Here is a 22,414-nt window from a genome sequence, read left to right as displayed (position 1 = left end):
TAGTGTCGTGATCTCGGCTCACTGGAACCTCCACCTTCCCGGTTCAAGTGATTCTCCTGCCTCAGCCCCACAAGTAGCTGGGATTACAGAAGTGCACTCCCACGCCCAGCTCATTGTTTCTGTATTTTTACAGAAAAACAGACAGGTTTCACCATGTTGGCCAGGCTGATCTCAACCTCCTCACCTCTGGTTATCTGTCGGCATCAGCTTCCAAAAGTGCTGGGATTACAAGTGTGAGCCGCCGCACCTGGTTTGCCCATTTTTTGACAATGTATCAACATCATCTAAGATGGGCACTGCCTCAGTGTAGTGTGTCTAGACAAGGTGGCCGGAACAGAGAGGAATATGCATACCAGGCTTAAAGACGGGTTAAATCAGAGCTTTTCATTCCACAAAAGAGCAATTTTAATGAGGTCAGAACATGGATGTTCTAATATTTGAAAGCCTGTTAACCAGGAGAGAGAGTAAAGTGATTTGTTGTAGGAGGACACACCCAGCTCTGACGGTTTAAAGCGTCATGAATGCAAATTTGAACTCCAGAAAAGCAGAGCTTCCTAACAATGGGACTTCCACAGCAATGGGATTTCCTTCCGCATTCAGTTTGTGCCTTTCCCATGAGCGAGAGACTCCTAGGAGAGCCGCAGCCCGTTAGGAAGCCATGTGGGAACTCATCCACAGGTTCTTTTTGTTTTTTTTGTTTTTTTTTTTTTTTTGAGATGTAGTTTTGCTCTTGTTGCCCAGGCTGGAGTGCAATGGTGTGACCTTGGCTCACTGCAACCTCCGCCTCCCAAGTTTAAGCCATTCTGCTGTCCCCGCCTCCTGAGTGGCTGGGATTACAGGCACCCACCACCATGCCTGACTAATTTTTTGTATTTTTAGAAGAGATGGGGTTTCACCATGTTGGCCAGGCTGCTCTTAAACTCCTGACCTCAAGCGATCCACCTGCTATGGCCTCCCAAAGCGCTGGGATTACAGGCGTGAGCCACTGTGCCTGGCCGGAACCCACAGGTTCTTTGGATGGTCTCTGAATGTCATGAAACTCTTTTATATTTAATTAAAAAAATTTTTTTGACACAAGGTCTTGCTGTGTTGCCCAGACTGGAGTGCGGTGTCACGATCACAGCTCACTGCAGCCCCTAACTCCTAGGCTCAAGCAATCCTCCTGCCACCTCAGTCTCTCAAGTTGTTGGAACACAGGTGCCAGCCACGACACCTGGCTAATTTTGTTTTGTTTTGTTTTGTTTTGTTTTAGAGATGGGCTCTTGCTATGTTGCCTATACTGGTCTTGAACTGCTGGCCTCAGGCAGTCTTCCTCCCTTGGCCACCCAAAGAGATGGGATTACAAGCATGAGCCACTGTGCACAGCTGAGATTTTTCGACTTAGTCTTTTTGTACACCCAGTATCTTATAGAATATCCATAATATAGATTCATAAATAAACCATTTCCTTCAATGGTATAAATAAATAAACCACTGCTATAAATGGTGGAATTTTCTGAGTTAAGAGCAATACATATGATACAAAACTTGATATATAGAGTTTCTTAGCCAAACTGGAGGGGCTGGCTTTAGGTGATCCGTGGACTCCCTGAAATTGGGGACACCATTGGAAATATGTGTGAACTCATGGGCAGTTTCCTATGATTTCCAGTCCTCAAAATATCTCTTGGACTCAAAGATGCCTTAGGGCAGAGGACGCGTGTACCCCCAGTACAGAATCTCGGACAGTGAATGTCAGTAGACACTCGGCAGAAAACCTCTGCCAAATTGAGTGCTCTGATGTGACTTTTTCATCAAGTCAATGTTCCTGGGATCTCTTGTACATGATAATCTCACTCTTGTAAGGTTTCATCGTTTCTGCTTACCCTACTTTTCTTTCCCATCCTGATCCCTCTCCCACCAGACTGGACTCTGAAACGGGCATGTACAGAGAAGAGGAGACCCCAACACGCTTCAAGCTTTGAGTGGAGAGGACACAGCCTCTGCTGGGACAGGGAACAGAGGGATGCGGAGACCCTGAAGATGCTTTTGGACAGTGGTCTGAGGTTGGGACAGTGGCAGGAGATACCATTCACCCAGGATCTCCAGGACAAGAGATCAGCCTGGCAGTTACATGTGTTTTTTTTCAAACTGGTTGCCAGGTTGGCATGAGCGATGACATCAGAGATTCCGACCTTCCTGATTGGAGGGACCGGACTCTGTCGGCACCTGGGAGTTCAGTTGGACAACAGTAACTTCTCAGAGCTGTTCTCCACTCCTGACTTCTCCCAGCCTCGAGAATTGATAACACACTCTTCTGGATCCCAGCAGTGTCCAGAAGAAGACCAAGGACAGAACAGAGACTAGGTTTGGTGAGATGGGACAGATTTTGGGAAAGATCATGATGAGCCATCAACCGCAGCCCCAGGAAGAGCGGAGCCCCCAGCGGAGCACCTCAGGGTACCCCCTCCAGGAGGTGGTGGATGATGAAGTGTCGGGACCATCAGGTGAGGGGACTGGAGGAAGAAGAGGTGGCATAGGATTGACTAAGATGAAGGAAGGGGGCCAGGCGTGGTGGCTCACCCCTGTAACCCCAACACTTTGGGAGGCTGAGGCGGGCAGATCACCTGAGGTCAGGAGTTCAAGACCAGCCTGGCCAACATGGTGAAACCCCATCTCTACTAAAAGTACAAAAATTAGCCAGGCGGTAGTGGTGTGTGCCTATAATCCCAGCTACTTGGGAGGCTAAGACAGGAGAATCACTTGAGCCTGGGAGGAAGAGGTTGCAGTGAGCCGAGATCGTGCTACTGCACTCCAGTCTGGGTGACAGAGTGAGATGCTATCTCAAAAAAAAAAAAAAAAAAAAAAAAAAAAAAAAAAAGAAGAAAAAAAAGAAGGGTCAGAGGTCAGGAAGGAGAACCTGGGGAGGGTGTGTGGGAAGAATGGAGAAATTCAGGCTGGGTGCAGTGGCTCACACTTGTAATCCCAGCACTTTGGGAAGCCAAGGCAGGCGGATCACTTGAGGCCAGGAGTTTGAGACCAGCCTGGCCAACATGGTGAAACCCTGTCTCTATTAAAAGTACAAAATGGAGCTGGGCATTATGGCAGGCACCTGTAATCCCAGCTACCTGAGAGGCTGAGGCAGGAGAATAACTGGAATCCGGGAGATGCATGTTGCAGTGAGCTGAGATTGCACCACTACACTCCAGCCTGGGTGACAAAGCAAGATTCTGTCTCGAAACAAAAAAAAAAAAAAAAAAAAGAGGGACTCAGAGAGCCAGGGACCAGGGAAGGATATGAGGCAGTGTTCTGAGGACAGAGAGAGGGAAGAATGGGGAGGGGAAGGAGTGGCACATGGGGTTGAGCAGAGGAGAAAGTCAGAAAGGTGGCTTGGAGAAGCCAGCAGTCTGCGAGGCTGGGGAGGATGGAGAGTGGTTTGGGGTTTGGGGTCGGGGTCTAACGTGATCAGTTGCAGAAGCATTACACGGTGGCCTGGTTTCTTTACTCAGCCCCTGGGGTAGATCCCAGCCCCCCACGTAGGTCCCTTGGCTGGAAAAGGAAGAGGGAATGTTTGGATGAATCTGATGATGAGCCAGAGAAGGAGCTCGCCCCTGAGCCTGAGGAGACCTGGGTGGCGGAGACGCTGTGTGGCCTCAAGATGAAGGCGAAGCGACGGCGAGTGTCGCTCGTGCTCCCTGAGTACTACGAGGCCTTCAACAGGCTGCTTGGTAGGAGGACACCCCAGAGAGCACCTCCAATCCTGTTCTTTCTAAAGAGGAAACTTCCAATAACCACACTTTTCCAATGGGAAAAATATGCCCCAGTGGGTGAGCTCTCCATGCGGGAGGACTCTGAAGTGATCACTCATGAGGGACACTTAAGGAGACAACAGAGGATTAGGTAGACTTGATAAAGGTCGGTGCTTGGGATAAGAAAGCTTGGTTTTGGGCCAGGCGCTGTGGCTCCCGCCTGAGATCCCAGCACGTTGGGAGGCTGAGGCAAGAGGATTGCTTGAACTCAGGACTTTGAGGCTGCAGTGAGCTATGACTGCACCACTGCACTCCAGCCTGGGTGACAGAGCAAAACTCTGCGTCAAAAGAAAAACCAAGGCTGGGCACAGTAGCTCATCCCTGTAGTTCCAGCTACTCGGGAGGCTGAGACAGGAGAACTGCTTAAACCCAGGAGGCAGAGGTTGCAGTGAGCCAAGATCAGGCCAATGCATTCCAGCCTGGCCCACAGAGCAAGACTCTGTCTCAAAATAAATTAATAAATAAATAAAAATAAAAATCAAATAAAGAAAAACAAAATCAAAAATCAAAAAAGTGGTTTCAGCTGTGCCCTCTGAAACTTAATGTTTCTTACTGACTTTGCTAAACCTAAGTGTCTCCATCCATAGTGGGGGATCCCAAGGCCATGGTCACACCCTGATGTGTGACTGTCTCATGAGGAAATGATGGGAATTCCTTTATGACTCTGCAGTGGTCCCTCCGTGTCTGCTGGAGGGGGTCCTGGCTGATTCCCAGCTCTACATCCTGTAGATTCTCACACCCAGGGCCTCCTTCGGCCTCTTCTCAGGGGAGTCTCAGAGCAGGAGCCTCTCTCCCTTGCCCAGTGAAAGTCATTCTCCCCTCTCTCATCCACCTCACCCGCGGCCACAATCCTGAGACTTTCCCCCGGGAGGCACACTTCTCCTCGCTGCCCTGCTGCTCTCACGGAAACCCTGTCCTGCTTCTCACACTGACATCTGCTCTCTAATCACAGAGGATCCTGTCATTAAAAGACTCCTGGCCTGGGACAAAGATCTGAGGGTGTCGGACAAGGTAAGGTTGTTCTCTATGTAACTGTGTTCCTGTTCTAACGCACGGCCAGGGGGAGGGCGCAGCTTCCAAACCCACAGTTCTCCGTCCACCACCTCCCACCAGATGCTCCTACAGTTTTTTTTTGTTTTTGTTTTTGTTTTTTTTTGTGAGACACAGTCTTGCTCTGCTGCCCAGGCTGGAGGGCAGTGTCTCGATCTTGACTCACTGCAGCTGATGCCTCCTGGGTTCAAGCGATTCTCCCACCTCAGCCTCCAAGCAGCTGGGATTACAAACATGAACCACCACGCCTGGCTAATTTTTGTGTTTTTAGTAGAGACGGGGTTTTGCCATGTTGGCCAGATTGGTCCCGAACACCTGACCTCAGGTGATCCACCCGCCTTGGCCTCCCAAAGTGCTGAGATTACAGACGTCAGCACTGTGTCTGACCAGCTCCCATGGTCTTGAGTCTTGGCACCCACACATTTTTTTTTCTGAGACAGAGTCCAGCTCTGCTCCCCAGGATGGAGTACAGTGGCATGATCATAGCTCACTCTAATTCCTGGGCTCAAGCAATCCTCTTTCCTTAGCCTCCTGAGGAGCTGGGACTAGGCACATGCTACCATGCTCAACTAATTTTTGAAATCTTCTTAGAAACAGGGTCTCGCTGTGTTGCCCAGGTTGTTCTCCAACTGTTGGGCTCACATGATCCTCCTGTCTCCACCTCTCAAAAAGTACTGGGATCACAGGCTTGAGCTGCCACTCCCGGCTATTCTTTGTCTTTTTATGATTTGTCAGCATCTCCGTCAGGATTCTGCTGGTCTCTTGCAGAGTGAATGAGTGGCCCCTGCCTCTCCTATGGGTCCTTTGGGATCTGAGCCCTGGGCCACAGTCTGGCTGCAGCCCTGAAGCTCCTGGGCCCTCTACTCTCAGCTCCTTGGGACAGTTCTCTGCCTGGCACACAAAAGACCCTCCTGACACCAGCCGACCTAGACACACCCCCTCCAAAGATCCCATCGGAGCCCACCATCCTGGGAGCATCACCAAAAACCCTTCCTCCGGCTTCTCGGATTTGCATCCGACCTTCGAATACCCCTCCACCCCGCAATTTCCACATGAGCACAGTCACCCCAACACTGAGGTCCCTTCTCTGATGGGCAACCCCTCCCCAGACCCCCATTCCACTATATCCACAATCTTCCTCTCCCAAGATGTGACCTCTCCCTCTCTGTGTTCCTTTCTCTCCATCAGTATCTCCTGGCTATGGTCATAGCGTATTTCAGCCGGGCCGGCCTCCCCTCCTGGCAATACCAACGCATTCATTTCTTCCTGGCTCTGTGAGTGGTTTGCTGCCTCCTATCCGTCAATATCCAATGCCCTGGGACAGCGGGGGAAGTGGGATTCCAGCCTTTCATTTATTCTTTCACCTATTTGTCCTCTTTACTCTGTGTACAAAAAAGACAGGATTATAGTCTCAAAAAAAAAAAAAAAAAAGAACAAAAAACAAAAGGAACCATGAACCGCTCCTAAGGGGAGAAGAAAAGGAGCGGAGGAGCGGACATGACACTTCCCCCAGCAAGCAGACGTTTCCGGTTGTTCTCTCTCCTTCCCACATCAACCGCAAAAGCCATCAGCCTCCTCCGGGTTCCCGTGACAGAGGTCACAGTCCAGGTCCCCCTTGCATCACTCGAATCCACTGTCAAATGCTCCCTGCTGGGGTTTCCTGGAGTCTCTCCCCAAGCCAGGGGGCTTCCTAGTGCAGCCTGAACATCTTTCCAAAGCACGACAACCTCACTGCCCACCTGAACAACTTCCTTAGCTGATGTCTTTCTCTATCGAGGCCAGGGTCCACAGTGCCAATTCCACCCTCTCTACAATCTCTACAACCACACTGGCTCGCCATCTTGGTGTTTCCTGGCTTGGCTTCACTGCTCCTTCCAAATGCCCTCCACTTGACTTTGCATTTGTGTTTTCTGTCTGGGTGTCCCGCACACATGTGGTTCTGAAGGGAAGGACCCATTCCTTGAAGTCGGTTCACCCCACAGCCTCTGTGATGCCTTCCCTCGTCTTCCAACTTCTGCATGCCCGTAGCTCTCCAGTTACATCCTATTATAATGTGACATTGGGATTAGGTCATCTCCCCTGATTACTCCCAGTCCCATTAGACTAGATGCCTGTAGAAGGCAGGGTCCTGGCAAAATATCAGTGTATTCAATTGCTTTTTTTTTTTTTTTGAGACAGACTTGCCCTGTCCCCTAAGCTGGAGTGCAGTGGTGAGATCATAGCTCACCGCAGCCTCCATATCCTGGGCTCAAGCGATCCTCCCACCTCAGCCTCTTGATTAGCTCCGACTACAGGGCTGTACCACCACACCTGGACAGTTATTTATTTATTTATTTATTTATCAAGACAAGAGTGTTGCTGTGTCTCTCAGGCTGGAATGGAGGGGCCCAATCTTGGCTCACTGCAACCTCCGCCTCCTGGGTTCACACAATTCTTATGCTTCAGCCTCCTGAGTAGCTAGGACTAATGGGTGTGCCACCGCACCAGGCTGATTTTTGTATTTTTAGTATAGATGGGGTTTCTCTGTGTTGACCAGGCTGGTCTCAAACTCCTGGTCTCAAGCAATCCACCTGCTTCAGCCTTCCAAAGCGCTGGGATTACAGGCATGAGCCACCACGTCTGGCGTATTTTTTATATTTTTAATAGAGACGAGGGTCTTGCTATGTTGCCCAGGCCTGTCTCAAACTCCTGGCCTCAAGTGATCCTCCTGCTTCGGCCTCCCAGTGTGCTGGGATTCCAGGCATAAGCCACCACTCTTGGTCACCAGTTGGGTTTTTGTCTCCATCCTGAAGGAGTGGGAGACGCCCTTGATCAGGTCTCTGTCCAGCAGAGCCCTCCTGAGGAAGGCGTGGCTCTCTGCAGGGTGGGTGCCAGTCCTGAGCTAGGGACGGTCCCTTACCTTCCTCTCTGAGAAGCTGACCTCAGCCGGAGGTCTCTCCTGGTGGTGCCCCTGAGCAGCAACCTGATTTCTGTCCTCAGCTATCTGGCCAATGACATGGAGGAGGACGACGAGGCCCCCAAACAAAACATCTTCTACTTCCTGTACGAGGAGACCCGCTCTCATATACCCTTGCTCAGTGAGCTTTGGTTCCAGTTATGCCGTTACATGAACCCGAGGGCCAGGAAGAACTGCTCTCAGATAGCCTTGTTCCGGAAGTATCGGTTCCACTTCTTTTGTTCCATGCGCTGCAGGGCTTGGGTTTCCCTGGAGGAGTTGGAAGAGGTGGGTGGGGCCTGGGGACGTGGAGGATGTGGGGAGGAATCGGGTGGGCTGGAGGCTGGACGAGGGGAGAGAGGGGTATCCTGGGGAGTCCCCGTCTTCTCAAAGCGCGTTTGTTTTTCCAGATCCAGGCTTATGACCCAGAGCACTGGGTGTGGGCGCGAGATCGCGCCCACCTTTCCTAGAGCTCCAGGGACCGTGGAGGCCTGAGGTCATCGGCCTGAGAGAAGGTACATCTGCATCCTCCGGGGTAAAGGCAGAATATTGGGGTCTATTTCGGAAATCCAAGGAACCCAATTGCTTGATCTGGCTTCAAGCCTGGGCAACGTGGCGAGATCCCCTCTCCACAAAAATACAAAAATTAGCCAGGCGATGTGGGAGGCATCTCTACTCCCAACTACTCAGGAGGCTGAGGCGGGAGGATCGCTGGAGCCTGGGAGGTCGGGGCTGCAGGGAGCCCTGATCCTGCCACTGCACTCCAGCCCGGGCGACAGAGTGAGACCCTGCCTCAAAAATAATCATAAATACTGAGTTCGGGGAGGTTCATTATGATTGATGCACTTGAGTTACCGATTTGGGTCGAGGGTTCAGTGAAGCTTTGGTTTACATCTTGTGCAGCTAACCATGTTGAGCACAGAGCATGAGACTTCGTCATGAGGAGGGAGGATTATGGATTAGGCTTCTGGACTCGTGGTTCGTGATGTTGTCACGTTAGAAACAGATCTAGCACGGTTACAAGTTTAGATCTGAAGTGACACAAAAGGCCCCAGCTGTGATGAAGTCCAAAGCCACATTCTCTGAGGGTGCCCTACTCCCTGGGAAGACCCACCCAAAGTCCTGGCTATGAAGCAGATCACTGGGGCTGACCTTGGGTGTATTAAGTTTTGGAGTCAGGGTCACCAAAGTGTGAGTTTCACAGTTGAACACGATGGTTCAGAAGCAGGGTATAGAATGAAAGGCAGGAGATAAAATTGCACTTCTCAATTGCTCTGAACTCTAGCTAGACTTGACATGGGACGTGAATAACCTTCCTGTCTAGAGAGCTGCCTCCTTGAAGTGTGACATTGTCTCTCTCACTTCCAGAACACCGGACCCAGGGGAGATGTGGATTTTCAGCAGGAACTTTATTCCAATGCTAATGGCAGACATCAGGAAGGAGGAGAGGAACCATTTGTGCAGATCATCTAGAAGAACCTGGACCATTCTTGACAGAGCTGAATACAGTGATCACGTTGTCCTCCAAGGAGCAGGGGTGGGGTGGGGTACTTCTAGGAGTCCTTGGAGAAAAGTAAGAAACCAGGAGTGTTTCCAGTTCCACCCTTTCCTGCGGCACCACCTCCCTTTTTATATTGCTGAATGCCAACCTCCCTGGGGCGGAACCTGGAGGTCCTGTTTCTTATGGACTTGGTTGTCACAGTCCAGGAGCATTTGAAGGCACAGTGCAGGGGCTCAGATTGGCACAGAATTCTTTGTGAAATATGAGTGCCACAGACTGTAACAGATAGCTTCATGCACACTATGCATTTTATTGGTTTGTTTGGAAAATGTTGGCCATTGAATTATTAATAGGTTTATTTCAAATAGTTTGGAAATTGTTGTACTTTTGAAAACATGCTGTTCCTGTAGAGTTTTTTGATGAGAGTTATAGTTGTTATATATACCTAAAGATAATTTTCTTTTCATTTTTAAGTGAGAATTCTTTTTATCCTAAATCTTTTATTATCTTTAATTTTTTTTCTGTATTATTATATGTGCTCCTGAAGCGAGCACTCTTTTTATCTATGATACTTCCATAATAATCTCTTCTATTTATAGCTATTGGTAGTTCCCCACCAGAAAAAAACATAATTCTGGTGATAGAAATTTTTATTTGCTGTTTAGGTTTGTGACTGACTTGTGAGAATTCAGTTGTGATTTTTAACATGTCTCAGATATATATACTAACACGTCTAATATATACTATCTATTTTATTGGTTTATTTTGAAAAACATGGGTATAGAATTATTTAAATATTATTTTATTTACTGAAATATTTATTAAATATATTTATTTATTTAAATATTATTATTACTTTAAATATTATTTTAAATATTTTGGAAATACTGGTATTTTTGAATAGATGCTGTTTCTATAAAGCTGTGTGATGGGTATTATAACTGTTGTATACACATACATATAATTTTGTTTTCCTTTTTAAGAGAGGATTCTTTTCATCCTAAATCTTTTACCTTTCAATCTTTGTATCTATTATTACACGTGCTGCTGAAGGGAGCATGGTTTTTATCTATGATACTTAGTTAACATATATATTACATTTATAGCTATGTGGTAGTTCCCCTAAATTCTTGTAAAAATAAATTTTTATTTGATATTTAGTGTATGTTTGAAATGTGAGAATTCAGATGGAATTTTTTATCTTGTTTTGGCATGTTTGTATGTTACTTTAAAGAGGATGTGTGTTCTAAAGGAGGACATGAGCTGTGTGTTTTCAAGAGAACAGTGCAGTGCATCTCTTGGGGAAACATAATAAAGATGAACTTTTCTCACCTTCACAGTGAGTGTGATCATATTGTGGTCTGGATTGATTATTTGCTGTCAAGTGACATTTTTCCTTAATGGGGTTGTGGTTATTTGAACATATTTATTAGCTTTGGAAGATAATCCTGTGCTGTTTTTTATGTAGAAAAAAACATACGGCTGGGTGCAGTGCTCACACCTACAATCCCAGCAGTTTTGGAGGTCATGGCGGGAGGATCACTTGAAGCCTATTTTTAATTTTTATTTTTTAAAGAAAAACAACAGAAGAGAAGGCTGATCCCAAGCTACAGGGTTTTTTTGTTTGTTTGTTTGTTTGTTTGTTTTGGAGACAGTCTCGCTCTGTCTCCCAGGCTGGAGTGCAGTGGCACAACCTCGGCTCCCTGCAACTTTCACCTCCGCGTTCAAGCAAATTCTCCTGCCTCAGCCTCCCAAGTAGCTGGGACTACAGGCATCCGCCTGTACGTCTGACTAACTTTTGTAAAAATAGTAGAGACAAGGTTTCACCATGTTGGCCAGGCTGGTCTCAAACTCCTGACCTCAAGTGATCCACCCGCCTCAGTCTCCCAAAGTGCTGGGATTATAGGCATGAGCTACTGTGCCCAGACCCCAAGCTAGAGTTTTAAAGCAGGAAATGAGAGAAAGATATTGAGAGAGGAAAACCAGGTGGTAAGAAAACTCTAAAGGTGGCTGGGCGTGGTGGCTCACGCCTGTGATCCCAGCAGGAGTTCGAGACCAGGCAGGAGAATCACTAGCAGAGAATATGTCTCCCCAACCCCTCTCAAAAAAAAAAAAAAAAGTCCAGGCGCGGTGGCTCAGGACTGTAATCCCAGCACTTTGGGAGGCTGAGGTGGGTGGATCATGAGGTCAGGAGATCAAGACCATCCTGGCTAATACGGTGAAACCCCATCTCTGCTAAAAATACAAAAAATTAGCTGGGCGCGGTGGCAGGCGCCTGTAGTCCCAGCTACTCCGGAGGCTGAGGCAGGAGAATGGTGTGAACCCAGGAGGCGGAGCCTGCAGTGAGCAGAGATCGCGCCACTGCACTCCAGCCTGGGTGAAAGCGCGAGACTCCATCACAAAAGAAAAAAAAAAAAAGAAAGTTCCTGCAACAGTTCAAGCTGTGAAAGACAGGCACTCTGCCATGCAATTCTTTGTGATTTTTCTTTTTTATTTTTGGAGTCGGGGTCTTGTGCTGTCACCCAGACTGGGGTGCAGTGGTGCGGTCATAGCTCACTGTGGGCTCAGACTCAAGCTCAAGCAATCTTCTTATCTTGCCTTTCTAATTGCTGGGATTATAAGCATGAGCCACTGCACCTGGCCTGTGTGACGTAATTCTGATGTCAACTCCCTGATGTTACATCAAATGCCACAGGTTAAGGCCACCAGCCCCCGCTAGGCTGCCCTCGCTTCAGATGCAGCTGCAAGCTTGGGTGTCCACAGACCGCATGTACTTCTCACCAACTGGCTGCAAATTTGGAGGTTCCCACCACGTCCTCAGGTTTGATAATTCACCATAACAACCCACAGAACTCTGAAAAGCATGATACTTTCTCTTTCTTTATTTGAGACAGAGTCTTGCTCTGTCACCCAGGCTGGAGTGCAGTGGCCACCATGCTTGGCTAATTTTAGTATTTGTATTAGAGACAGGGTTTCGCCATGTTGGCCAGGCTGGTCTTGAACTCCTGACCTCAGGTGATCCACCCACCTTGGCCTCCCAAAGTGCTGGGATTACAGGCATAGCCACTGTGCCTGGCTGACTTCTAGAGTTTCAATAACAGAGATGTGGTTCAAGAAGAAAAGGGAGACATGTTTTGTAGACAGCAGGAGCTTCATGAAAAGAAGCCAATGAAGGGCAGGATGTGTAGCTGTCTACCTACAGGAAACCAGCCAGGAGCCTCCCCACAGGGACTTCAGCACAGATGGCCGGGAAAATCTGCATTCACCTGAGCTCTGGACCTAAGAGAGGACAAGGCCTTGACTGTTTCTACAGACTCACAAGATGCAATCTCTGCGGTCCATGCCCGTGGTGTGATCTGGGAAACAGGGGGCCTTCTAAATGCCAACAACAAGGAAATCAAATGTGCAACAGACAGAAATATCGGCATTGACACGGGCCATGGAGAGGCCTAAACAGATGACTGCAGTCCACTGCCAAGGTCATCAAAGGGGTGACTCTGAAATAAGAAATTTCAGACGCCACGGCCCAAATAGCTGCACGAGGTGGGGAAGTCCTCCACATGCCTCTGCTTCCTTCAGTACCTCTTCATGAAATAAGCCGAGGTACTTCCCTGGGGAATTTCCTTTCTCTTTCTTTCTTTCGAGACGGAGTCTTGCTCTGTCGCCCAGGCTAGAGTGCAGTGGCGCGATCTCGGCTCACTGCAACCTCTCCCTCCCGGGTTTTGGCAATTCTTCTGTCTCAGACTTCTGAGTAGCTGAGATTACAGGTGTGTGCCACCATGCCCAGCTAATATTTGTATTTTCACTCGAGACAGGGTTTCACCATCTAGGCCAGGCTGGTCTTGAACTCCTGACCTCATGATCCACCCATCTTGGCCTCCCAAAGTCCTGGGATTACAGGCACGAGCCACCACACCCAGACTTCTTTTTTTATTTTTTGAGATGAAGTTTCGCTCTTGTTGCCCAGGCTGGAGTGCAATGGCGAGATCTCAGCTCACTGCCACCTCCTCCTCCTCCCAGGTTCAAGTGATTATCCTGCCTCAGCCTCCCGAGTAGCTGGGATTACAGGCACCCAACACCAAACCCCGCTGACTTTTTGTATTTTTAGTAGAGATGGAATGTCACCATGTTGGCCAGGATGGTCTTGAACCCCTGACCTCTAATGATCTACCCGAATTGGTCTCCCAAAATGCTGGGATTACAGGCGTGAGCCACTGTGCCCAGCCCCTCCCATACCTCTTTTGGCCAAGGCAGTACAATTCAGAGAATCTTGCCAGGGAAGACTGGTAAATGGACATCAACATGATGCCTATGGCTCCTGGTGGATTTAGATACCTCCTGGTGCTTACTGATACCTTTACCAGTTACATGGGGGCTTTTCCATGCCAGACTGAAAATGCTGGAGATCACTGATCAACCTTCAACTATTTACTAGCAGAACACTGAGGGGACTCTGCAGTCACCAATATCTCCTATTGCACTTGGATAAACACCTCCCGGGAAATAGAGATGAATAGAAAGGAAATACTTAAACAAGCAGAATGGCTACATTCCTTCAACCAGAAGGGTCCATTAGTCTGTTTTCACACTGCTATAAAGAACTACTGGAAACTGGGGAATTTATGAAGAAAAGAGGTTTAATTGACTCACAGTTTTGCAGGCTGTACAGGAAGCATGGCTGGGGAGCCCTCAAGAAACTGACAATCACGGCAGAAGGCGAAGGGGAAGCAGGCACGTTTCTGGCCATGGTGGAGCAGGAGAGACAGAGAGAGTGAAGCAGGAGGTGCTGCATGCTTCTAAACAACCAGATCCCATGAGCGCTCACTCACTATCACGAGACCAGCAAGGGGGACGTCAGCCGCCATGAGCCAATCATCTCCCACCAGGTCCCTCCCTCAACACTGGGAATTGCAATTGGACATGAGATTTGGTTGGGGATACAGAGCTGAACCATATCAAGGGTAGTTCAACCACTGAGATTGATTGATTGACTGAGATGGGGTCCTGCTCTGTTACCTAGGCTGGAGTGCAGTGGCACAATCTCGGCTCACTGCAACCTCCGCCTCCCAGGTTCAAGCAATTCTCCTGCCTCAGCCTCCCTAGTAGCTGGGACTACAGCACACGCCACCACACCTGGCTAATTTTTGTATTTTCAGTAGAGACGGGGTTTCACCATGTTTGCCCGGCTGGTCTTGAACTCCTGACCTCGTGATCACCCTGCCTCGGCTCTTCTTTTGCTGGAATTACAGGCGTGAGCCACCGCACCCGGACAACCACTGAGATTTAGAAGGCAGTCGAGTCCACTATACCACACCTCACCTGGTTTCTTCCTCTGTTGGGGCCCCTCGTGGCCACTGTTCTGTTACTTTTTGGTCCTATTTATTTAAATGGATGGTGAGCTGTTTGTCCTCCAGGATCCAACACTTCCACCTTCAGCTTGTATTACAACAATACCAGCCTTTCAAGCTACTCCGGGTGACCCCAGAACTCATCTGAACTCAGAAGCCCAAGAGTTTCATTCCTCTCACTTTAGGGGACTAAGTGCCCCTGGTCAGCATGAAGTCGATACAGAAGCATGACCTCCATCCCTAATCCCTCAAGAATGAGGAGTGGAAGGTGTTGGCAGGAGGGTGGGACGCGGTTTGTAAATCTGTAACTGCATCAGACCAAATCTAGTTCAACTTTTTTTTTTTTTGATGGAGTTTCACTCTTGTCACCCAGGCTGGAGTGCAATGGCACGATCTCAGCTCACTGCAACCTCCACGTCCTAGGTTCAAGCATTCTGCTGCCTCAGCCTCTGGGGTAGCTGGGATTACAAGGGTGCGCCACCACGCCTGGCTAATATTTATATTTTTAGTAGAGACGGGGTTTCACCATTTTGGCCAGGCTGGTCTTGAACTCCTCGACCTCAGGTGATCCACCTGCCTTGGCCTCCCAAAGTGCTGGGATTACAGGCGTGAGTCACCGCACCCGAATCAGTTCAACTTTTATGTAATGAAGTTGTCAGTTGTTTTCCAATTGCCATCGACCTGCAGGTTGAAGGTCATGTACCCTGTGCATGCCCAGGTTAACCACGCGTGCCACCGTGGAGTGGAACCTAAGAGCTCAGCCTGAAGAGCTCGGACCGATTTAAGAACCAGACACCCCCAGGCAGGAGCCAGGATCCAATCAGATTGAGTTTTGGTGTCACCCCATGGCAGGATCCAGTCAGATCACACCTCCCAGCATTACTTTATTGCAAGATCCAATCAAATCACACCTCATTACCCTATGCTTATAAAACCTGACACAGCCCCCAGCTGTGTAAGGGAGATTTGAGTACTTCCTCCTGTGTTCTTGCTGGCTGACTTACAAAAAAGCTTTAAAAAAAAAAGCCAGGCGTGGTGGCTCACGCCTGTAATCCCAGCACTTTGGGAGGCTGAGGTGGGCAGATCACTTGAGGTCAGGGGTGCAAGACCAGCCTGGCCAACATGGTGAAACCCCATCTCTACTAAAAATACAAAAATTAGCTGGGTGTGGTGACACACACCTATAATCCCAGCTACTTGGGAGGCTGAGGTAGGAGAATCACTTGAACCCAGGAGGCGGAGGTTGCAGTGAGCCAAGATCACACCACTGCACTCCAGCCTGGGCGACAGAGTGAGAAGACTCCGTCTAAAAAAAAAAGTTAAAATTAGCACCAAACGCTTTACAAGTAAAAAAAGTTTTTAGCTGCATATGTTTAAGTAACTTTTTAGATTATAAGAAATACGCATGCAAAATGGAAAGGCACAAAGAAGAGAGCAAAAAGTGCATGAGATCTCACATCCAAGGATAACCGCTGAGAACATGGAAGTGCTGACTCTTCAGTCTTTATACTATACACATTTAGGCCTGTTTTGTTTTTATAAAACTGTAATCATATAATACAGACAGTTTTATAATCTGCTTTTTAAACACAACAATTATATAACATTTAGCTGTTTCATTTGCATTCAAATTCATAAGGGTTCCAGTAACTCATTTATCAGAAAACCAAGAGAAATATTCTCATAAAAATATAAGTACATAAGGTCAGGCATGGTGGCTCACGCCTGTAATCCCAGCACTTTGAGAGGCCGAGGTGGGCGGATCACCTGAGGGCAGGAATTCAAGACCAGCCTGGCCAGCCTGGACAACATGGTGGAACCCCGTCTCCACTGAAAATACAAAAATTAGCCGGGCGTGGTGGCGCGCGCCTGTAATGGTAGCTACTCAGAAGGCTGAAGCAGGAGAATCGCTTGAACTTGGCAGGTGGAGGTTGCAGTGAACTGAGATCGCGCCACTGCACTGCAGCCAGGGCGCCAAAGTGAGACTCCATCTCAAAAAAAGATAAAAATAAAAAATAAAAAAAATGTATATATATGTATATATATTTTTCCAGACAGGGTCTTACTCTGTCTCACAGTCTGAAGTGTAGTGACGCAATCATAGCTCACTGCAGTCTCAAGTTCCTGGGCTCAGGTGATCCTCCCACTTCAGCCTCCCAAGTAGCTGGAACTACAGGTGCATGCCACCATGCCCAGTCAATTTTTTTTTTAATTTTTCATAGAGACAGAGTCTCACTATGTTTCCCAGTCCTAATAAACATTATGTGATAAAAAGAAAAAAGTAAATCATCCTGAAGTTAAGTCTTTAATGAGAAATGCAAATAAAGCATTTCTCAATAAATTATGGGAAGAGAATCAACTGAAGAATAAACATCTTTAGTAAATCTTTTGCTCACGTGCATTAACCAATACTCTTGAAAACCAGGATTAATTTACTGTACCTTCTTAATATTCCTTTGAAATTCCTTATGGCGCACAGGTAGCGTAGAAAATAACTGCTTCACGCTGACTGTGGTCCCTCTGGGGTGGGGGTAGGGGGTTTTCTGGATGATTTTCCCATCGTGATCAAACACCAGTCGAGTCCCAACCTTCGCCGATACGTGGCAGGTAGAAATGGTGACATCACTGTGAGAGAATACCAGGCATGGTGTGTTCAGTGAGAGATCCATGATGTTGGGCACTGACTACTCTTTTCTTCACTTGCTTTTCTCTCAAAATTTTCTTAAAAAGCTGATGATCCCTCTGAGATAACCGAGATCTAAACGGTTGAGGAGTCATCACAAAATCTAAGGTCTGGCATCTAAAAGACAGTGAGACAGAGAGCACTAAACATGCTTTGTTTTGATAAAAGCTTTGACTTCATTTTTCAGGTTGAATTGCAAAACCATAAATGATCTCAAGATTTATTGATTCTCAAATAGAGATTTGTTTTGTTATTACTCTTCAAACAAAATTTTTTAAAAGAATTTTTTTAAAGAATTTTTTAAAATTTTTAAAATTTTTTTTAAAGAATCCAAAAGATATTATAATTAAAATGTATATGTAGGGCAGGGTGCGGTGGCTCGTGCCTGTAATTCCAGCACTTTGGGAGGCCAAGGAGGGCAGATCACTTGAGGCCTGGAGTTCCAGACCAGCCTGGGCAACATGGCAAAACCCCATCTCTACTAAAAATACAAAAATTAGCCAGGAGTGGTGGTGCACGCTATAGTCCCAGCTCTTCAGGAGGCTGAGTCACGAAAGTCACTTGAACCTGGGAGGCAGAGACTGCAGTGAGCTGAGACTGTGCCACTGCACTCCAGCCTGGGTGACAGAGTGCGACTCTGTCTAAAAAAAAAAAAAAATATATATATATATATATGTATATATATGTATATATATATACGTATATATATATGTATATATATATGTATATATATATGTATATATATATGTATATATATGTATATATATGTATATATATGTATATATGTATATATGTGTATATATATGTATATATGTATATATGTATATATATATGTATATATGTATATATGTATATATATGTATATATATATGTATATATATATATATGTATATATGTATATATGTATATATATGTATATATGTATATATATGTATATACATGTATATATATGTATATATATGTATATATATGTATATATATGTGTGTGTGCATGTAATTATTTATAAAAATTTAGTATCTGTGCTGTAATTAAATAGTGCTTTGGTGAAATGTTTCCCTAAAAATTGATAATGAAAACCAATGGTAACTATCATTTATTATCTATATGTTATGTTCAAATTGAGAAGTTACTGTTTTAATAAGGGTAACCAATTTTTTAAACAATACTATTTGCTTCATTTCATTCATTTATTGCTCACATTTCAGAAGTACTAGGACTTAGATTGGCAGTGAGACAAAACAGAATTCAGAAGCTAGAAGCTGAGATATTGAGATAGAAAATTGTAAATAATAATGATTCCAATTAATTTTCAGAGAGGTTTTTCTAAGGGGTCAAGTGAATGGATAAAAATATTTTCTCACCTCAGTGCACAAAGTGAGCTCAGAGCTTTCCCCCGAAAGCCAAAAGTTTCAACCCGAGTTAGGTCGGCAAACTCTCGAATCTTAGATGTGTGATGTTTCAGAGCTGAAAGAGACTGTAAAGTAAGGACTAAGATATCTCAAGTGCTATAACAACAAATATACATGATATCTAGTAACTGGCTTTAAAAAACTGTTTTTGTGTTTCCCAAGACAGTGTTACTCAAAATTCTAAGACATGTGGCCCAATTATTTTGTAATAGGATTAGAAAGTTAACTTACTTAAGCCTTCGAAGTTTTCTTCTTCTACCCCACATCCATTGCCTGAAACTTCAATGAGATCCATTCCATAGTCCTTAAGCTTTAGATCTAGAAAGTTTAAAATATTTATATATTTATTAAAAATGGACCCACGCTATCAGTTTTTATATTGATATTATTTATAACGTGCAAATTTAAGTGTCGTAACTATACCTTTAGTTAAACATACTAGTGTCATTTTGTATATTTCATTTTTATAAAGTTCTTTCTGGCCATTTACTAGCCCAGATTAAATAGTTTAGCATTTTCTTTCTTTCCTCTTTTTTTTTTTTTTTTCCTTACACTAGTCAAGTGAAGCAGTTGGAGTGGAGAAGGAACAAAAAAATCTGTAACTGGTTGTGATCAATTAGTTGTAAAGACCGTTGCACTTTGACCAGCCTTTTCCTTTGAAAGAAATAATTTTAACATACCCAGTAAGGAGAACGGGGGCCGGGCGCAGTGGTTCATGCCTGTAATCCCAGCACTTTGGGAGACCAAAGCGAGCGGATCACCTGAGGTCAGTAGTTCGAGACCAGCCTGACCAACGTAGAGAAACTCTATCTCTACTAAAAATACAAAATTAGCCAGGCGTGGTGGTGCATGCCTGTAATCCCAGCTACTTGTGAGGCTGAGGCAGGAGAATCGCTTGAACCTGGGAGGTGGAGGTTGCAGTGAGTTGAGATCGTGCCATTGCACCGCAGCCTCGGCAACAAGAGCAAAACTCTATCTCAAAAAAAAAAAAAAGAAAAAAAAACAGAACTGGTTCTGGAATCAGACTTCCTAGATTCTATTTTATTAGCTTTATAATCTCAAAAAAAGGAAATTTACTGTCCCTTAATTTCCTCAACTGTAAAATGGAGGTAATAAGTTCTATCTCATAAAGTTATTTGGCAGATTAATAATTTTTTTTTAATTTTGTCATTTTCTTTTTTTTCTTTCCTTTTTTTTTTTTTTTTTTTAATTTTTTGAGATGGACTTTTGCTCTTGTCACCCAGGCTGGAATGCAGTGGCACAATCGATCTTGGCTCACTGCAACCTCCACCTCCCAGGTTTAAGCAATTCTCCTCCCTCAGCCTTCTGAGGAGCTGAGATTACAGCCATGCACCATCACATCTGGCTAATTTTTGTATTTTTAGTAGAGACAGGGTTTTACCACGTTGGTTAGGCTGGTCTTGAACTCCTGACCTCAAAGCATCAGCCCCCCTCAGCCTCCCAAAGTGCTGGGATTACAGATGTGAGCCACTACTCCAGGATTTATTTTATTTTATTTTATTTTATTTTTTTGAGACAGAGTCTTGCTCTGTCCCCAGGCTGGCGTGCAGTGGCACAATCTCGGTTCACTGCAACCTCCACCTCCCAAATTTAAACAATTCTCATTCCTGAGCCTCCCCAGTAGCTGGGATTACAGGCTTCTGCCACCAGGTCTGGCTAATTTTTGTATTTTTAGTAGAGACAGAGTTTCACCATTTTGGACAGGCTGGTCTCGAATTCCTGACCTCAGGTATCCACCCGCCTTGGCCTCCCAAAGTGCTGGGATTACAGGCGTGAGCCACCACACCCGGCCTGCTTTATTTTTTAATAGAGACGAGGTCTCCCCATGTTGGCCAGGTTGGTCTTGAACTCTTGGCTTCAAGCAATCCCCCCACCTCAGCCTCTCAAAGGGCTAGGATTACAGGCGTCAGACACCACGCCCAGCTATTCTGCAAATTAAATGAGATATTTCTGTGCAATTCTTAGCATAACACCTGCCTGGCACACCATAAGAACACAAGAAAAGCTGTCGTTATTATTATTACTACCTAGCTAAGTACTAGGCACATAATAGGTGCTAACTTTAACTTAAAAATAATAGTTTATTACTACATCAACACTTGATAGTCTTATTTCAATAACAAATGTTTCTTGACTACAACAACATTCACTGATCATTTCTTGTGGCTTAAAACTCTCCCAAACTTACCAATATTAGTGGCACCAGCATCCAGACTGTTTCCTACTATCTTCTTCACCGCAGTGCTTAGACTCAGTACCACCGGCCCAGAGCAAATCTGATGGACTGACTTCCGATCAATAGGTTTGATGGCCTTAGCAGGTTCTGTACTAAAGAAATCAGTTACAAGAAACAAAGCAGGTATTCAGCTATATATTTTCATCCTGATTTTAACTGTGGGAAATGACTCAACACTGCAAATAGTTTATGGGTCTAATCTATTCATTTATTATATTAACAAATACATTTATTATATCCAGAAATGGAAACATTGTTTTACAATCCTTAAACAAGTACCCAAAATACTTCTGGATAGACACTTCAAATTCAACACATCCTTACTATCTAGTATCCACATGGAGAAAACATACATTGTATCTCTCAAATTACCAAAATCTTTGGCAATAATGGTGTCTTCTTTCTTGAAAACTGAAAGCATGGCCGGTGCGGTGGCTCATGCCTGTAATCCCAGCAATTTGGGACACAGAGGCAGGTGGATCACTTGAGATCAGGAGTTTGAGACCAGCCTGGCCAACGTCGTGAAACCCTGTCTCTACCAAAAATACAAAAAATTAGCCAGGCATGGTGGTGGGCGCCTGTAATCCCAGCTACTTGGGAGGCTGAGGCAGAAGAATCACTTAAACCTGGGAGGCGGAGGTTGCAGTGAGCTGAGATTGCAGCATTGCACCCTAGGCTGGGCAATGAGCAAAAAAAAAAGTAAAAGCAACATAATTTCCCACATAATTAGAAAAACCAACAGTATGCTGGGAAATACACAATGTTTAAGTCAAAATCATCTCAGAAATTGGATACCAGTTATATAACTATTCCTTATACACAGTTGCCTTTGATACCCTACTCCAAATTGAAGCTGCCAGCTGCTGTCTTAGCAAAGACCCTCAAAGTTCTTGCTGTACTTGTTTTAAGAGGTTTTTTTTTTTTTTTTTTTTTTTTTTTTGAGACGGATTCTTGCTCTGTCGCCCTGTCGCCCAGGCTGGAGTGCAGTGGCACGATCTTAGCTCACTGCAAGCTCTGCCTCCCGGGTTCACACCATTCTCCTGCCTCAGCCTCCTGAGTGGCTGGGACTACAGGCGCCCACCACCATGCCCAGCTAATTTTTTGTATTTTTAGTAGAGACAGGGTTCCACCGTTTTAGCCAGGATGGTCTCGATCTCCTGACTTTGTGATCCGCCCGCCTCAGCCTCCCAAAGTGCTGGGATTACAGGCGTGAGCCACCATGCCCAGCCCACTTTAAGAGTTTTATAACGGTTTCATTTCCCCTTATTCCCTGCTCCAACCCATCCTCCACTCTATCACCAGAGCTATTTTTGAAATCACGAATCTGGTCAAATAATTTTTCTGCTTGAAAAATTACTAGTGCCCCACTTCCTACTATATGAAACTTAAAATCTAGTCATCACTGGGCCCCAAACTACCTTCTTTTCAGAATCTCTCTGATC

At 45.7% G+C, this 22,414-nt stretch overlaps 1 protein-coding gene and 1 pseudogene across 2 annotated transcripts; one reads left to right on the top strand and one right to left on the bottom strand.

Moving 5' to 3' along the window:
• Positions 1–556: 556 nt before the first annotated feature.
• On the top strand, positions 557–10,623 carry SPDYE9 (speedy/RINGO cell cycle regulator family member E9). 2 transcript variants are annotated; one of them, NM_001382554.3, is made up of 8 exons: positions 557–678; positions 1,904–2,486; positions 3,489–3,707; positions 4,741–4,799; positions 6,027–6,112; positions 7,818–8,061; positions 8,184–8,288; positions 9,142–10,623. In NM_001382554.3, the coding sequence occupies exons 2-7, from the start codon at positions 2,357–2,359 to the stop codon at positions 8,241–8,243; spliced, it is 798 nt and encodes a 265-aa protein (NP_001369483.1). In that variant the 5' UTR covers positions 557–678; positions 1,904–2,356; the 3' UTR covers positions 8,244–8,288; positions 9,142–10,623. The 2 variants fall into 2 exon arrangements, with proteins under 2 accessions (NP_001369483.1, XP_047276664.1); XM_047420708.1 differs by lacking the exons at positions 557–678; positions 9,142–10,623 and having other exon boundaries at positions 8,184–8,824.
• On the bottom strand, positions 9,242–21,066 carry PMS2P14 (PMS1 homolog 2, mismatch repair system component pseudogene 14; annotated as a pseudogene).

The sequence above is a fragment of the Homo sapiens genome, chromosome 7 (assembly GCF_000001405.40).
Source record: "Homo sapiens chromosome 7, GRCh38.p14 Primary Assembly".
NCBI lineage: Eukaryota > Metazoa > Chordata > Mammalia > Primates > Hominidae > Homo > Homo sapiens.
Note: the sequence above shows the minus strand (reverse complement) of the source record. Positions and strands in the feature narration are given on the sequence as shown.